Source organism: Homo sapiens, chromosome 1, assembly GCF_000001405.40.
Source record: "Homo sapiens chromosome 1, GRCh38.p14 Primary Assembly".
In the NCBI taxonomy this organism is placed as follows: Eukaryota; Metazoa; Chordata; class Mammalia; order Primates; family Hominidae; genus Homo; species Homo sapiens.
Genome location: NC_000001.11, coordinates 186,377,571 through 186,392,830, shown reverse-complemented (window position 1 = coordinate 186,392,830; position 15,260 = coordinate 186,377,571). Strand labels below are relative to the sequence as shown.

Below are 15,260 nucleotides of genomic sequence, written 5' to 3'. Positions count from 1 at the left end.
GGGTTTCACCATGCTGACCAGGCTGGTCTTGAACTCCTGACCTCAAGTGATCTGCCCACCTTGGCCCCTCAAAGTGCTGGGATTACAGGCATGAGCCACCACGCCTGGCCCCTGCCTCCCAAGTAGCTGCAATTACAGGCACCTGCCACCAATGCCCAGCTAACTTTTGTATTTTTAGTAGACACAGGGTTTCACCATGTTGACCAGGCTGGTCTCAAACTCCTGACCTCAAGTGACCCACCCACCTCGGCCCCCCAAAGTGCTGGGATTACAGACATGAGCCACCATGCCTGGCCCCTGCATTCGTTTTCTAAGGATAAAGGCCTCCAGCTCCATCCATGTTCCTGCAAAGGACATGATCTCGTTCTGTTTTAATGGCTGCACAGTATTCCATGGTGTATATGTACCACATTTTCATTATCTAGTCTGTCATTGATGGGCATTTAGGTTGATTCCATGTCTTTGCTATTGTGAATAGTGCTGCAATGAACATAATGCATGCATGTGTCTTTACAATAAAACAATTTATATTCCTTTGAGGGTATAGCCAGTAATAGGATTGCTGGGTCAAATGGTATCTCTGTTTTTAGGTCTTTGAGGAATCAACACACTGCCTTCCACAATGGTTGAACTTATTTATACTCCCACCAACGGTTTATAAGCATTCCTTTTTCTCTGCAGCCTTGCCAGCATCTGTTATTTTTTGACTTTTTAATAACAGCGATTCTGACTGGTGTGAGATGGTATCTCATTGTGGTTTTCATTTGTGTTTCTCTACCGATAGTAATGCTGAGTTTTTTTTCATACGATTCTTGGCTGCATGTATGTCTTCTTTTGAAAAGTGTCTGTTCATATCCTCTGCCTACTTTTTAATGAGGTTGTTTTTCTAAGAAAAACATTTGCCTTTTACTTTAAATCAGAAATCAGAAATGAGAGGTAGATGAAATCAGTTTTCTTGTAGGCAAGGACTAAAAATAAGTCATGTTTTATTTTTCCTTAAGCACTAACAATTTAATAAGATGATTTTCTCTTAACTTACCTGTCCTTCTAATAGGTCACAATCTTCATCTTTAACTTGTCCATTAATCAAATAAACACCATTTTCTATTTCCTTGGCCCAGCGTGTAAGTCCATTCTTAACAGAAACACAACATGGAAATCTTTCAGATACAATGCCATCTCAATTAAACTTCCTATAATCTACTTTGTTCCACCTAATAAATTGAAATATTAAAATCCCTAAATCTCATTACTGCAGCATTTAAATCTAGTTTCACAAATTAAAAAAAAGTATACCCCCATTCTTGATACCTTATTATATTTAATAATAGTTATTTTCTGATCTTTATCCCAGAATAACATTTATGTCACAGACTCAGGAGGTTATTAAGTACATGATCAGTTAAATAAAATTTAATGCCCACTACCTTAAAAAAAAAAGTGAGAAAAAAGCATCAAATAAGTCTAAAAAATAAAAAAAAAAAGCTCTATTTGACATCTTCAATGGGAAAAATGAAGAAAAATAAGATAAAAATAAAAGAATGGTATAGAAATACAAAAAAGAACTGGAAAAAGGAAGACAAAAAAACCTAAGTACTAAGAGAAAGCTAAAAGTCCAAACAGTATAGCTTCTTACATTAATTACATTTTACATGTTAATTAATGAATACTGTTATATTTAGTTTAATGACAAAGCACATAATAATACTTAATCAGCACATAATAAGTACTAGTATATTTAGTCTAACAACTAAATTATTAGTTATTATTAAACTGAATATACTAGTATTATGACATTGTTCCACTTCTAAAAATTTCTAAAAATTTCTAATTTGGCTGCGGTAATAAGTTACTCACATAACAACATTGTAAGCAGAATGTAATTTTTGAGGATTGTAAAATGAATGACACATGTAAGCAGAATAAAAGCAGATTGTTCACTCAGCAATCACTGAAGAAAATTCATTTTACCCTGGTACCTTTGTATTTTTCTCCAGAGTATAGCTGACAGAAGTAGCAGAAAGTGGGATGTGAATATTAATGTGAACTGTACACTCTAAAGAAAGCCATGAGGATGATAATCCACTTTGATACTTCCAATCTGCTGGTCTTGCTGAACTCTAGCAGTGGAGAAGGGAGAAAAATAACTATGATGTAGTCTAGATAAAATACATGGATCAACAAAACATTATTAAATATACAACCTAAATAACGCATACAAACTCATATCTAACATATATGGCTAAACCCTTGATCAAAAGACTATAGGTTGAACTAAACACAAAATAAAGCATGTGTTAAGTTCAGTACTCTTCAATACATCCTTGGCAATACTTCTCCTCCCAATGGTAGGCAGAAAAAGAATCAGAAATTTCCATGTTTAGAATTCTGAAAGGTCCTTTGATCCTCTAGCTTCAACAGTATCAATACTGAAGATTCTGATCTGAAGCAAATAATCACTGAGCAACTCCTAGGTGGCAGGCATTCTCCTTTCTGTCCCATCCTTGCTAATGACACTGCAAAGTTACTTTTTCACAACCCTTTTAGATGCATTAGCAAAGTGCTAATCTGGGTTTTGCTGAATACACATAGCTTGTTTAATAGGCAGTGCAGCTACCAAAAGTCCTCAGTCACTTTTACTACCAGCCTCTCAAATATAAAACTAAATACACAAACAAGGTAGGAGGAGATTAACAAAGATATTTTAACAATTTTTTAAAAAGTTGGCTGGCCGTGGTGGCTCAAGCCCGTAATCTCAGCACTTTGGGAGGCGAAGACAGGCAGATCACTTGAGCCCAGAAGTTCAAGACAAACATAACTAACATGGTGAAACCCTATCTCTATCAAAAAAAACAAAAAACAAAAAACAAAAATAATTAGCCAGGTGCAGTGGTGCACATCTATAGTCTCAGCTACTCAAGAGGCTGAGGTGGGAGGATCCCTCGAGCCCAAGAGGTGGAGGCTGCAGTGAGCTATGACTGCATCACTGCACTCTAGCTTGGGCAAGAGAGTGAGACCCTGTCACGCACAAAAAAGTTTTCCTTATCTGTAATAAAATTAATCATATTTCAAAATAAAAACTACAGTTGTTTGTAGGCATCAATAGGAAGTGATGGCAATGGAAATTATTAAAACTAAATAAAAGCTGAATTTTGATTGAAAATACTTTGTGACACAGAAAAATCTTTAAAGAGTAAATTTCTTACCTTTGGATCATGGATATCATAAGTTCGACAAAATATTCTTCACTAATTAAGGACAGAAATAACCAAAAAAGGCATTATTGGTAACTAAAAGAATATAAACTATCAAAAAATAAACTAAAAAATGCACGCATCCAAAAGTTCTTACAAAATCATAACACTTTAAAGATATGCGTACATATATGTACATGTGTGCATATATATACATATGTGTATATATAATCATACATACAAACTGCTATCACTATAGTACTTGCGGTGCTTGAAAATCATTTCCTACCTTTTATGAATCCCGCTAATTGCAATAAATAGAATCAAAGCACTCGTGAGATTCTTCTCAAATATACACTCTCCATAAGAAAAAGTACCACTGTTTTATATGAGGTCAAACCTGAGACTATTTATTGGATTAAAGGGCTTGTATATGAAACTTTGCAGTTAAATACTAAAGATTTTTTTTGTTGTTGTTAAAAAAAAAAAAAGCCCTGCTTCTGCAGGAATGGTCACTTTTAAAATTCTGTCTTTGGAAGTCCATGGATCGTGTCACTCCTTTGGTGAGGATGACCCTTGCTTGGGAGGTACTCTTGCCCTGGTAAGAGGCCGTGTAACTGGCTTTTAGTGTCATTTCATCTTAGCCAAAGACATAAGAATTTCTCCGATGTCCTATACCATCCAGCTCTGTGCACCTGTGCTTTGAATTGTACATCCTTATCTATAGAAACTGGAGGTGAAAACTTTAACATAATAAAAACATTACTTTGCCTAAGCCATCAGTTAGGCATTTATCTCTGTAGGGAATCTGCTGTGCTTGGATGTACAGGGCAGATAGCTGGTAAAAAATTCAGAATCCTGAGTCTTTCATATTACAGATCTCAAGCTTTTTATCACCTTGGGACATGATTAACAACCATTATTGCTATTATTATTATTGGTGGCTCTAATTCCATGTTATTTACAGAAAAATCTTACAAAACTATGCCTATTTTTTAAATGATGATTTAAATAAATAGCAAAAAAACCTTGCAAGAATATTATTTTGGTACTTTGTACTTTTAAACCATAAACTGAACAAAAGATACTTTTTTGTAGAAGCACAAATGTGAAGTGTCACTCGTTCTGAGACTTCCTCCTCTGTGAAATTCCACAATCTCTTTCTATTTATAGACTTTTCCACAGCAAACATTAGCTGAAAGAGAGAAAAATACACACTAATTGAATGTAAAATGAAAAAAAAAGATGAGTGTTGAAATAGGCAATTATAATGTCCCCAACTCTCATTTAGCTTTAAAATTCCATGATTCTTTATTTATTGGAGAAGGGGTCTCACTATGTTGCTCAAGCTGGCCTTGAACACCTGGGCTCAAGTGATTCTCTCACCTCAGCTTCCCAAGTAACTGGGACTACAGGTGTGTGCCACCATTAATTTTTCTTTTCTTCAAATTAAAGACTGGAGCTAATTACTAACATTTTTGAATTCCTTTTAGGAAATTACAGAAAAATTGGGTTTAAATAAAAAAATTTAATTCACTATCATTAGAGATTAACTGGACACAAAAAATTAATTTGGGGCAACTAGAATTTATATAAACTATAGAACAGAGACTTTAATTAGAATGAGAAATGATAAGTGATTTTAACTAAAGAAATCAAGCATGTCACCCATTTAGCATTTCTTATTTAAACGTCACACAAGACTTAAGGCAATATATAACAACATATAAAATATAGTAATAACAAATTGAAAGTTAAAGTAGAATAGTGAGATAAATTTGTGTCAGAAATAAGAATTATAAAAATGCATACTTGATGTAAGGGGTGGTAATACATTTCGGTCTAAGCTTTCTAACAATAATGTGCAGAGAGAAATCTAATCTGTAACCTAATTCACATGGTCTGTAAGCTAAAAACAATCATCAGAGGAGGCACAACCTTCTTCATAATATAAAAAGAAATTCTTCCGGAAACACAATATTAATGTAATATGATGAATAAAGTCCTTAACAATAATGGGTGACACTGACAAGTTTTATAAGGCTGTTTCTTGTAGTGTTTGTCAGTGTAGCCAGTGGAAACAATTAGATAATTGAAACTCAGTAATGTCAGAGATAAAGCATTTCTAAAGTTTTATATACTTTTTAGGAACAAAAGATACAAAAGCAAGGAAAGTGGGCCTGGCTGTATCTCTCTAGCACTGGGCCCACATTCAACCCCCTCAATTCAGCACCAGCCAAAAAAGGTTGCACAATGAATGCTATTAATATTAAATACGCATAGATTTCGGTTAAATTTCAAAATGCCAAAGAGAATGAACAATTGTAAACAAGGTAAATTTATTTAAGATGGAAAAGTTGGCAGAGGGTTAAACAATTTAGCAGGGAGGAGAATATCTCCATTTTCTTCCCTTACTCCCTTAGGTGCAAATATCAAAGGCTTGAGGCTGGGACATCTGACAGGACAGGTTACAAGACTGAAAAAATCTGTAACATCTGAAGTTCTCAGCTGTATATTTTTTACCTAAAAAATGTTTTTCTGGGATACTGTTGGGGTTGGGTTTTATATGTCTCAAGATTTTAAGGTTCCCCCTCTTTTGGGGTATGAAATACCCTTCAAAAAGTTCATGTGGATCCTGAATGCTAAAAGAGCTGGCTACACAGAATCTACCTTAGGTTTGGGTTTAAGGGAAAACAGCATGTGGACCTTCATATTTACTTTTACACTATGTTACCCAATTCTCTGGTGCAGCAATTAAGCAAAAAACACAGGAGATTTCTGATAGATACTGTGTCCAGGAATAATCTGATTGTTTATGTTTTACTCTCAGGATCTCCGGAGAATTGAGAAGAAGGTAAAGAATTTCAGCACCTATTAATTTCATGTTACAGTAATCACTAGGTACTAAATGGAAGGTGTGACAGAATACTGCTATTGCATAAGAAAAACTGTTTAAAGCATTATAATTTGTTTCCTAATAGTCAGAAATTACCTCTAAAATAAAGATTATTTTAAAATATGTAGTTTTTCTGTCAAAAAGAATTACTTCCACAAAGATGCCTTTTTTACAACAAATTATTAGATCCAAGTGACTTTGAGTTCTTAATATTATAATTAATCATTTGAATTTTTCAATATTTTACAATGAATTATTTGTTTGCATAATTTACATGGAATTACTGTCATTAGTCATGGTTATTATTGAGAAGTAAATAATTTAACTTTTTAACTTGAGGAAAGAATAGCTTTTTCAAATTTGTATGAAATGCCATATGGGCTGATGATAGCCCTGTTTTGGGTAGTGTACTAAATAAAGAATAAAATTACCCATGGAAAAAATAATAAATAAAATGTGTAGTTTTTAAAAATATAAACATTTTTTACACTCAAGATATCCAAGCAATTGAGTGACAAAAGCTTTTTCAATGTAACCCCAACAAAAAGAATTATGGAAAACAAATGTAAATATGCCTAGAATCATTACACATACTCATAATCAGTAAAAATAACATATAACTGATTTCATTAAGAATTTTCGATATATCAAACTTACTCTACGCAGGGCATTTTGAAAATCATTTGCCAGTTCTAAAGTAGTAATAATAAATACTCCAAGAACTAAAAGTCCCCCTGGTAGCATTCTGGATACCTAAAAATAGAAATATATTATTAGCTAACAAATTGGCATTATATGCAATCCTTTCTGTTTGAGAAACTGTCTGCTTAGCATGTCCTTAGCTTTTCACCTTAAAACTACTTTATAAATAAAACTATCTGATAACAACATCCTTTAGCTACATCAATAAATAAATCCTTTTCTCAGGAGATCAAAGACTGAAATATTTTTTCAATGGCGTCCCACCATCAGCTAAATAAAATGAAGTTTTATTTTAGATTGATATTTCAGACTTTCTAGGATCTGGTCAATGATGTTTATACCCTCATTTGACACTACTTTTCCTCAAGTAATTCAAATATTTGTCAAAAACTACTTGAAAAGTAGTGTCAAATGAGGCTATAAACTGTTTTCCATACACATCCTAGGCTTTCTAACTATGTGTCTTTACTCAGGGTGTTCCCTAGGCCGAAACTGACTTTTTCTTATACTTCTGCATGTCTCAACCCTACTGGATACTTCAAAGGCAGCTTGAGGAAGCTGCCTTCTCTGATCTTTTCATCTCTGAACTCCGACAGGGCTTTGGTGTAGTTTTCCCATGGATTTTATCACATAGTCTTATATCATAGTTATCTGTGAACCCTACTAGTTGGTCAGGGAGCTCCTTAAGGGAATAAGTAATTCTACCTCTGTATCCCTATTTTTAGCAGCATACTAGATCTGGAATTTGAACAGAGGGAGTCTGACTTGAAAATCCATTATTTTCTATTGCATAGATTAACCTCAAATTTTTAAGCCCACTTACTGATACTGGGCATCTTTGCTATATCTAATTTTACCTTAAAATAATATTGATTAAAAATCCTAGTACATCTTTCTGCATTCATAGAATTATTTGTTTAGGACAAATCCCTTGAGGTGGATAACTGGTTTAAGAAGTTATACATATTTTTAAGGTTTTTGATACATACTACCATGATATCTCCATATCTGTATTTCCCTTCACATGATTGTGGCTAGTTCTTAATACCACATGGATTTTTTTCTATCATCTACACTCAGAGATTAGAGTGTTTTGGTTAGCTTTTGATTACTTAATGTACAAGCAATCAATCAGAGTACAGTCTTAGAAAATTAGGTACCATGCTCTAATCCTTAATCTACTTGCACTATGTCTTTCGGTGTTTTCCTCTGATTTAATAAATTCTATTTACTATAGTAGCACAATTCTGACAAATAAAGTTTTCATATTTAGCATAAGGAGCCTGCATATCTTTTCAAAATCACCAACACAAAAAAGTAACCATTTTTTAGGAGATGGAGGTGAGAGCAAGAAAGGGGAAAAAGTAAAATTAACCTTTTCTTTCTAGAGGTAAAAGGTTAAGCTAATTTACTATATAAATTCATTAATATTCTGTGTGTGTGTGTGTGTGTGTGTGTGTGTGTGTCATATACAATTTTATGAGAGACCAAAAGCAAAATTAGAGTAGAAAGTTATTTACAAACCATTGGGAATTTAACTTTACATTACTTAATATTTTCTTTAGAAGATAGTTGCCATGTTTGTCCCCTTAAACACCATGTTGAAATGTGAACCCAAGTGGGGCCTAATGGAAGGTGTTTGGGTCATGGGGCAGATCCCTCATTAATGGCTTGGTTCCATCCTCAGAGCAGTGAATGAGTTCTCGCTATATTTGTTCCTACGAGAGCTGGTTGTTAAAAAAAAAAGCCTAGCACCTCCCAACCCCTTGCTTCCTCTCTGGCCCAGTGATCTTTACACACCAGCTCCAATCTGCCTTCTGACATGAACAGAAGCAGCCTGAGGCTTTGACCAGATGCTCAATCTTGCAGCCAGCAGAATCATGAGCCAAACAGGCCTTTTTTTCTTTATAAATTACTCAGTCTTAGGTATTCCTTAATAGCCACCCAAACAGACTAAAACAATAATAATTAAATACTGGATTTCTTCGTTTTGTTTTGTTGAGACAGAGTCTCGCTTTGTCGCCCAGTCTGGAGTGCAATGGTGTGATCTTGGCTCATTGCAACCTCCGCCTCCCAGGTTCAAGCAATTCTCCTGCCTCAGCCTCCCAAGTAGCTGGGATTACAGGCACCTGCCACCACACCTGGCTAGTTTTTCATATTTTTACTAGAGACGGGGTTTCACCATGTTGGCCAGGCTGGTCTTGAACTCCTGACCTCAGGTGATCCACCCACCTTGGCCTCCCAAAGTGCTGGGATTACAGGCAAGATTTTATTTTTTTTTTAAATATAACTACACACTGCTCCATAATCAAACACATACACAGACACAAATATATGTCCATATATATATATATATATATCTACATACACAGAAACACGTTTGAGTTTAAAAGATTTAAAGATTTAAAGTTGATTGGAAAAGGAAATAAATCTTTTATTTATTAAAGAAAATTCTTTTTCTTAAAACAAACAAACAAAAACGCAGAATGTGCAAGTCTGTCACATAGGTTTACGTGTGCCATGGTGGCTTGCTGCACCTATTGACCTGTCCTCTAAGTTCCCTCCCCTCACCCCCAACCCCAGAAAAGGAAATAATTCTATTTTTACCTTATTCTAACATTATTTATTTGATGATATATAATTCATTCAATAAATACTTGTAAGTGAATTAATTTAGTCATTATTCCCACTCACCCATCCCAAATCTGTTTCTTCCTCGTGTAATGCCAACAGTATCCTCCTAGACACCCAGACTAAAAATCTCAGTCATCTTTAGCTACTTTCTCCCTATGTCTCTTCTCTCTACTCATTCACTAAATCTTCTTGATTCTAGCTCTTTTTTGAAATAAAACTTAAACATATAAACAAAAAAATAAGATAACCTGGCAGGCATGTTCTGTGGCCCATTCTTCATCCAAGTTATCCAACTTAGCTTTGGGATGTTTGAGGTTCTCACTTTGCTCCTCTTTGGGTGGCGTTCTAGTGGCAAGAATCACATAATCCTTTTGTGACGAACACTTCAACAACAAATTAAAAAGCTTGTTAGAGTGATATCTGATTCCTCAATCTAATTAGAGTGATACCTAAATTCCTTAGCTTTTATGACATGCAAAAACTGAGTAATATTTGTAACAGGTTAAATCATTAATACCCACATTATAATGGAAGCTAAAGGGAAGCTAATTTTCAAGGATGGCCTTACAATCTTTCCCTCACATGTTGTTTATCTTTTAATGTATTTAATATCAGCTTCTTATTTATTTGGACAACTCAAATGTAAATCATGGAGTGGTCCCTAAAAATGGTTTACTGGATGAGTGAATGAATTACATTAACTAAAAAGTAATATGCTTATTCAGTTTTCTAGTTATATTTGTTTTATAAGTTATAAATGAACAGATCGGAAAATATTAGTAAAATGAAACAACAAGTGACCTTTTGTATCTTATTTTAATTGAAATGATGACAGTAGGGAACTTCCACATACATTTCCACAGAATAACAAAGGGGATTTGGGACACAATTTAAAGTGATACAGATTCTATGTTCCTCAAGTTTTTTGTTTTGTTTTGTTTTTTGTTCTTTGTGTGTGTGTGTATTTATTTATTTATTTAGAGACAGGGTCTTGCTCTAATGCCCAGGCTGGAGTGCAGTGGTGTGATCATAGCTCACTGCAACCTTGCACTCCTGGGCTCAAGCAATCCTCCCCCCAAGTAGTCTCCCAAGTAGCTAGGACTACAGGCTCAAACAATCAGCCATAATGCCTGGCTTTTTTTTTTTTTTTTTTTTACTTTTTTGTAGAGACAGAGTCTTGCTATGTTGCCCAGGCTAGGTCAAACTCTGACCTTCAAGCAATCCTCCCACCTCGGCCTCCCAAAGCATTGGGATTACAGGCATGAGCCACCACACCCAATCTGTTCTTCAGCTGTAATATCAGTTAAGTAGTAACCAAAGTTGGGAGATCTAAAAATAAATGTAGGGGAACATTCAATAGCTCAGTTTCACTACAGTGAAAGTTTCCTATAAAAAAAGAGTGAAAATAACACTGCTAATGCAAGTTAGCATTGTATCTTCCCCACACATGACCTGAAACTCTGATCATTAGTATCATCTTGGGATAGAAAATAAGAGTAACTATTCCTACAGGTTATTTTCAGGAAGTTACATTCAAATAAACACAGGAAAAGAAAGTAGGTCTCAGTTAAGAAGGCTCCTCTTTTCTTCATAAAATGTATAACTTTGAAAAGAAAAAGAAACTGACAGAGACCAGGAAACAGGCAAGCTTAAGAGGAAGGAGAGGAAAAAGTAATGAACTCTGGAAGAAAAAGCACGTAGAATACTGAAAGGAATGAATTGCTCTGTCCGTGAGCAATACATACTACAGCATAAAAAGAGATAGAAGGAAGGCCTTAGGCCGGGCGCGGTGGCTCACGCCTGTAATCCCAGCACTTTGGGAGGCCGAGGCAGGCGGATCACGAGATCAGGAGATCGAGACCATCCTGGCTAACACGGTGAAACCCCGTCTCTACTAAAAATACAAAAAATTAGCCGGGCGAGGTGGCGGGCGCCTGTAGTCCCAGCTACTCGGGAGGCTGAGGCAGGAGAATGGCGTGAACCCCAGGGGGCGGAGCCTGCAGTGAGCCGAGATTGCGCCACTGCACTCCAGCCTGGGCGACAGCGAGACTCCGTCTCAAAAAAAAAAAAAAGAAGGAAGGCCTTAAATTATGAGACACTCATTTGTAAGATGGCAGTTTGCCTGAGCTTTAGAAACAACCTTTATCCAGTTAAGACAAATTTAGAAGAGGGTCTTTCTCCCTGACTTTTTATCTCTACTGATCACATCTTTCTCTAAGACTCTTCTTCTCTTAAATGTTTTAAACAAAGAGAAAGAAAAAAACTTAAATAGAAAACTCCTAACAAAAAGAGCCCCACATTACAACTGAATTAAAAAGAAATTCACACTGTTCTCAAGAGAGGCAGTCTGGCTGTCTAATGAGAGGCCTCACAGAGTGGTGCTACCTGGTTGAACCATGTAGATCTGCCCTCTGTCTTGCAAATTAAGAAATCTGATTTGTAAAAATTCTGAAAATGAGCCTGTCTTTCATGGCTAGACTGACATTGATTAAGTTTATTCAGAATGATGTAGAAAACTAAAATGTCATGAAGGCATCTGAACACTTGAGTCCTCTGGACAGTGTATTCTTTATAAGTAGATAACATGGGGCATCAAATTATAAAAGAAAGTAGCTTGGGAATATGGGTAGAATCAGAATAAGGAAAGTTAATTATGTAATTTGAAGATTCTAAGGCATCAGGCTAAGATATCTAGAAAGAAAATTGTCCCAATAAGAGCTTTATTGGCTAGTAGGCCTCAAAATCAAGTCCTTGGGCCAAAGTGCACTCTCCTGTGTTTGGATGGACACAGTCAGCTTGCCTGTGTGACTCTCCTTTTTTTTTTTTTTTGGCTTTGTACTGCTGACCGGTCCCTCCTGCCGATTAACACGTTCTTCCTTCACTCATAAGAAATCAGTGGCATGGGTTTTAAAATAAGTATCTGAATCTCTGTTCCATTTTGTGTTTTTAAGACTCAGCTCTAAGAGGAAATTAGAATTTGTCTAATTTCCAAATTTTTCCCAATCCCTCTCCCTCCCTATTGATCCAACAACAACAACAAAAAATTCAGTAAGATGGGTACTATAGCTTACAACAAAAATATGACCACTGTTGCCATAAGTCTGATATAAGACAACACAAATTAGAACAGGAATAAAATTTTCAAAAGCTTCTTTTGTAAAGAACTGGACAACCAGATATTAAAAAGATTAGAAGGGAATACAAAACACTTTGGAAAGACAACAAAATGTGAAAAATCTGGTCAATAAACATTCTAATTCTGAAGTTTCCATATTATAAATTACGTTTACATGGTCAAAGGGGAAGGTGTCCTGACGAGCAAAATTGGGCTAGGTTTGTCTACTTCTCCATGTTTCCTCAAAGACCTACTTTAAAGTTACTTCTTCCACATTTCTTCTTCCATCCCCCAATCTTGAGTTTATTATTAAATAGCATCTTTTAACTTTAAATCAACAAGTAATTTTTAAAATAAATTACAGAGTAATTATTTAGTTATAAATGCAGAGTAAAAGATACATACCTGTCCTATTAAAAGGCCAGAGACAAAAGCCTTTCCTTGGAGATTTATGTTTGAAAGATACTGGCCAACAGTCTCTTCTACAATGTAGGTTCTTCCCATTTTTAGGAACTAAAATCTCCTATATCACAAGAAGAAAAGATACAGCATTTAGGTAAAATATCATTTGCAATGTCTTTATCATGGGAGTAGTTTAGCAAGAGAAGTGATACTATCCTGAGGCTATCTCATGCCTTGCAGCAAATACTTATTACATAGTGTATTCCTTCTTGCAAAGTTCAGATGCAGTTCCAGAGTTCTTCTCAATACAATGCAGCAGGAAACAACCACAAATCAACCAGAGTTGACATGAGAGATCAAACCTTTTACTCATACCTGGGATAAGGGAGAGGATACTAAACTAGTAAGCAACACACCAGATTTCTTTTTTTTTTTTTTTTTTTTGAGACGGAGTTTTGCTCTTGTCACCCAGGCTGGAGTGCAGTGGCGCAACCTCGGCACACTGTAACCTCTGCCTCCCAGGTTCAAGTGATTCTCCTGCCTCGGCCTCCTGAGTAGCTGGGGTTACAGGGGCTCACGACCATGCCCGGCTAATTTTTGTGTTTTTAGTAGAGACGGGGTTTCACCATGTTGGCCAGGCTGGTCTCGAACTCCTGACCTCAGGTGATCCGCCCGCCTCGGCCTCCAAAGTGCTGGGATTACAGGCGTGAGCCACCATGCCCAGCCAACACACCAGATTTCTTATTTTAGATCTACTCCCTAGTTGTATTATCTTTGATACTCTATTGCTAAGTCTTGGTGTTCTCATTGCTAAAATCGTAAACATGAATTTCTGAATAGTTCATTAGGAGGTAGAGTCAAATTCATTTACTTGATAAGCATATATGAAAGAACTATACTATTTGCTTAGAAACTATGCTAAGTGGGATAACACAAAGATGAGCAACACAATCTCTGTCCTTGAGCAATACATACTACAGTAAGAGTTATTTAAGTAGATAAATAGCAATACAATAACAACATATAGCTTCTACTTTGTACAACGCATTATTGTAAGTACTTTCCATGTAACATTAATAATTCATAAAACCCCAGGAAGTGGGTACCATTATTATAATCCTCATTTTATAGATGAAGAAACTGAAATGAGAAAAGTTGATTAAATAACTTGCCAAAGTGACAAAGCTGGGTAAGTGGCAAAGGAGGGACTTAAATTCAGACACTCTGGCTCTAGAATCCATGTTTTTCAACACCACGCTCATAATGAGGAATCGTAACCAGTCCTTCAATTAAATCATTACTACGGGTAGCTCTTACTCTGTTTTCCCTCTGGTCTGTGGATGGAAGTCAGTATATTCATTCCCTCTATTGGCTTATGCTCCTTTGATTTGCATTTCTATAGCTTAAAACCAAAGATATTGAATAAAAGAGCTAGGCAATATAATGAATGATTAAATCAAGGAGTTCATAATCAGTGAGGATGAAAATGTAAAAGAGATGATATCCAAAAGAGCTATAAAACAAACAGAGACTGCAGGAACACAGTTACAGTATTTTGAACACTGCAATTTAGGAATCATCATCATTTGGATTCTGTTAAAAATGTGAATCTTATTCAGTACCACAAAGTTAAGGCTACCAGAGATATGCTGGGGTGGTATATCTGATACCAGTAAACTGTCAGTCACAAAACGGTTTTGCATTTTAAAACTAAAGCCCAGAGAATGGATTCAAGTCTGAAATGTCCTACTGGAGGCTGTTTCCTTATTGTTTCAATGAGCTTGTTCAGTTTTGTCTCAAAATACATTAATTTCTTCCTGGCTCTTTTTTTTTTTTGTTTTTTGAGATGGAGTCTTGCTCTGTTGCCCAGGCTGGAGTGCAGTGGCGCGATCTCGGCTCAATGCAAGCTCCACCTCCCAGGTTCACGCCATTCTCCTGCCTCAGCCTCCCAAGTAGCTGGGACTACAGGCACCCGCCACCACACTCGGCTAATTTTTTGTATTTTTAGTAGAGACGGGGTTTCACCGTGTTAGCCAGGATAGTCTCGATCTCCTGACCGTGTGATCTGCCTGCCTTGGCCTCCCAAAGTGCTGGGATTACAGGTGTGAGTCACCATGCCTGGCCTTCCTAGCTCTTTTTTGACAACAATAGACGTGAATCAGATTTGCATATCATTTTTTAGAGACTAAGTCTAGGAATGCTTGTCTAAATATCACTGTTGCCTCTGTGAAGTTAAGGGCTTTTACCTTTTAGTAATGCCTTAAGGTATGCAATTCTATGTATCTACTTTCCTCTATATCATATTATACTCCTTTTC

General features: G+C 36.0%; 1 protein-coding gene across 10 annotated transcripts in view; it reads right to left on the bottom strand.

Annotated features, from left to right (window-relative positions):
- Positions 1–15,260, bottom strand: part of ODR4 (odr-4 GPCR localization factor homolog) — a 59,194-nt gene that overhangs the window by 42,201 nt on the left and 1,733 nt on the right. For 8 of the 10 annotated variants that reach the window (XR_007061319.1, XR_007061320.1, XM_047423438.1 and 5 more), the window contains exons 2-8: positions 12,947–13,064; positions 9,675–9,809; positions 6,748–6,843; positions 4,283–4,389; positions 3,207–3,243; positions 1,980–2,120; positions 1,040–1,135 (exon numbers count right to left, since the gene is read on the bottom strand). Coding sequence is in view for 8 of the 10 variants with exons in the window: in XM_047423438.1 (XP_047279394.1) it covers positions 1,040–1,135; positions 1,980–2,120; positions 3,207–3,243; positions 4,283–4,389; positions 6,748–6,843; positions 9,675–9,809; positions 12,947–13,045 (711 nt within the window). In the remaining 2 variants the exon portion in view is untranslated. The remainder of the gene's footprint in view (positions 1–1,039; positions 1,136–1,979; positions 2,121–3,206; positions 3,244–4,282; positions 4,390–6,747; positions 6,844–9,674; positions 9,810–12,946; positions 13,065–15,260) is intronic. The other 2 variants (NM_001164246.2, XM_047423440.1) reach the window with 1 other exon arrangement.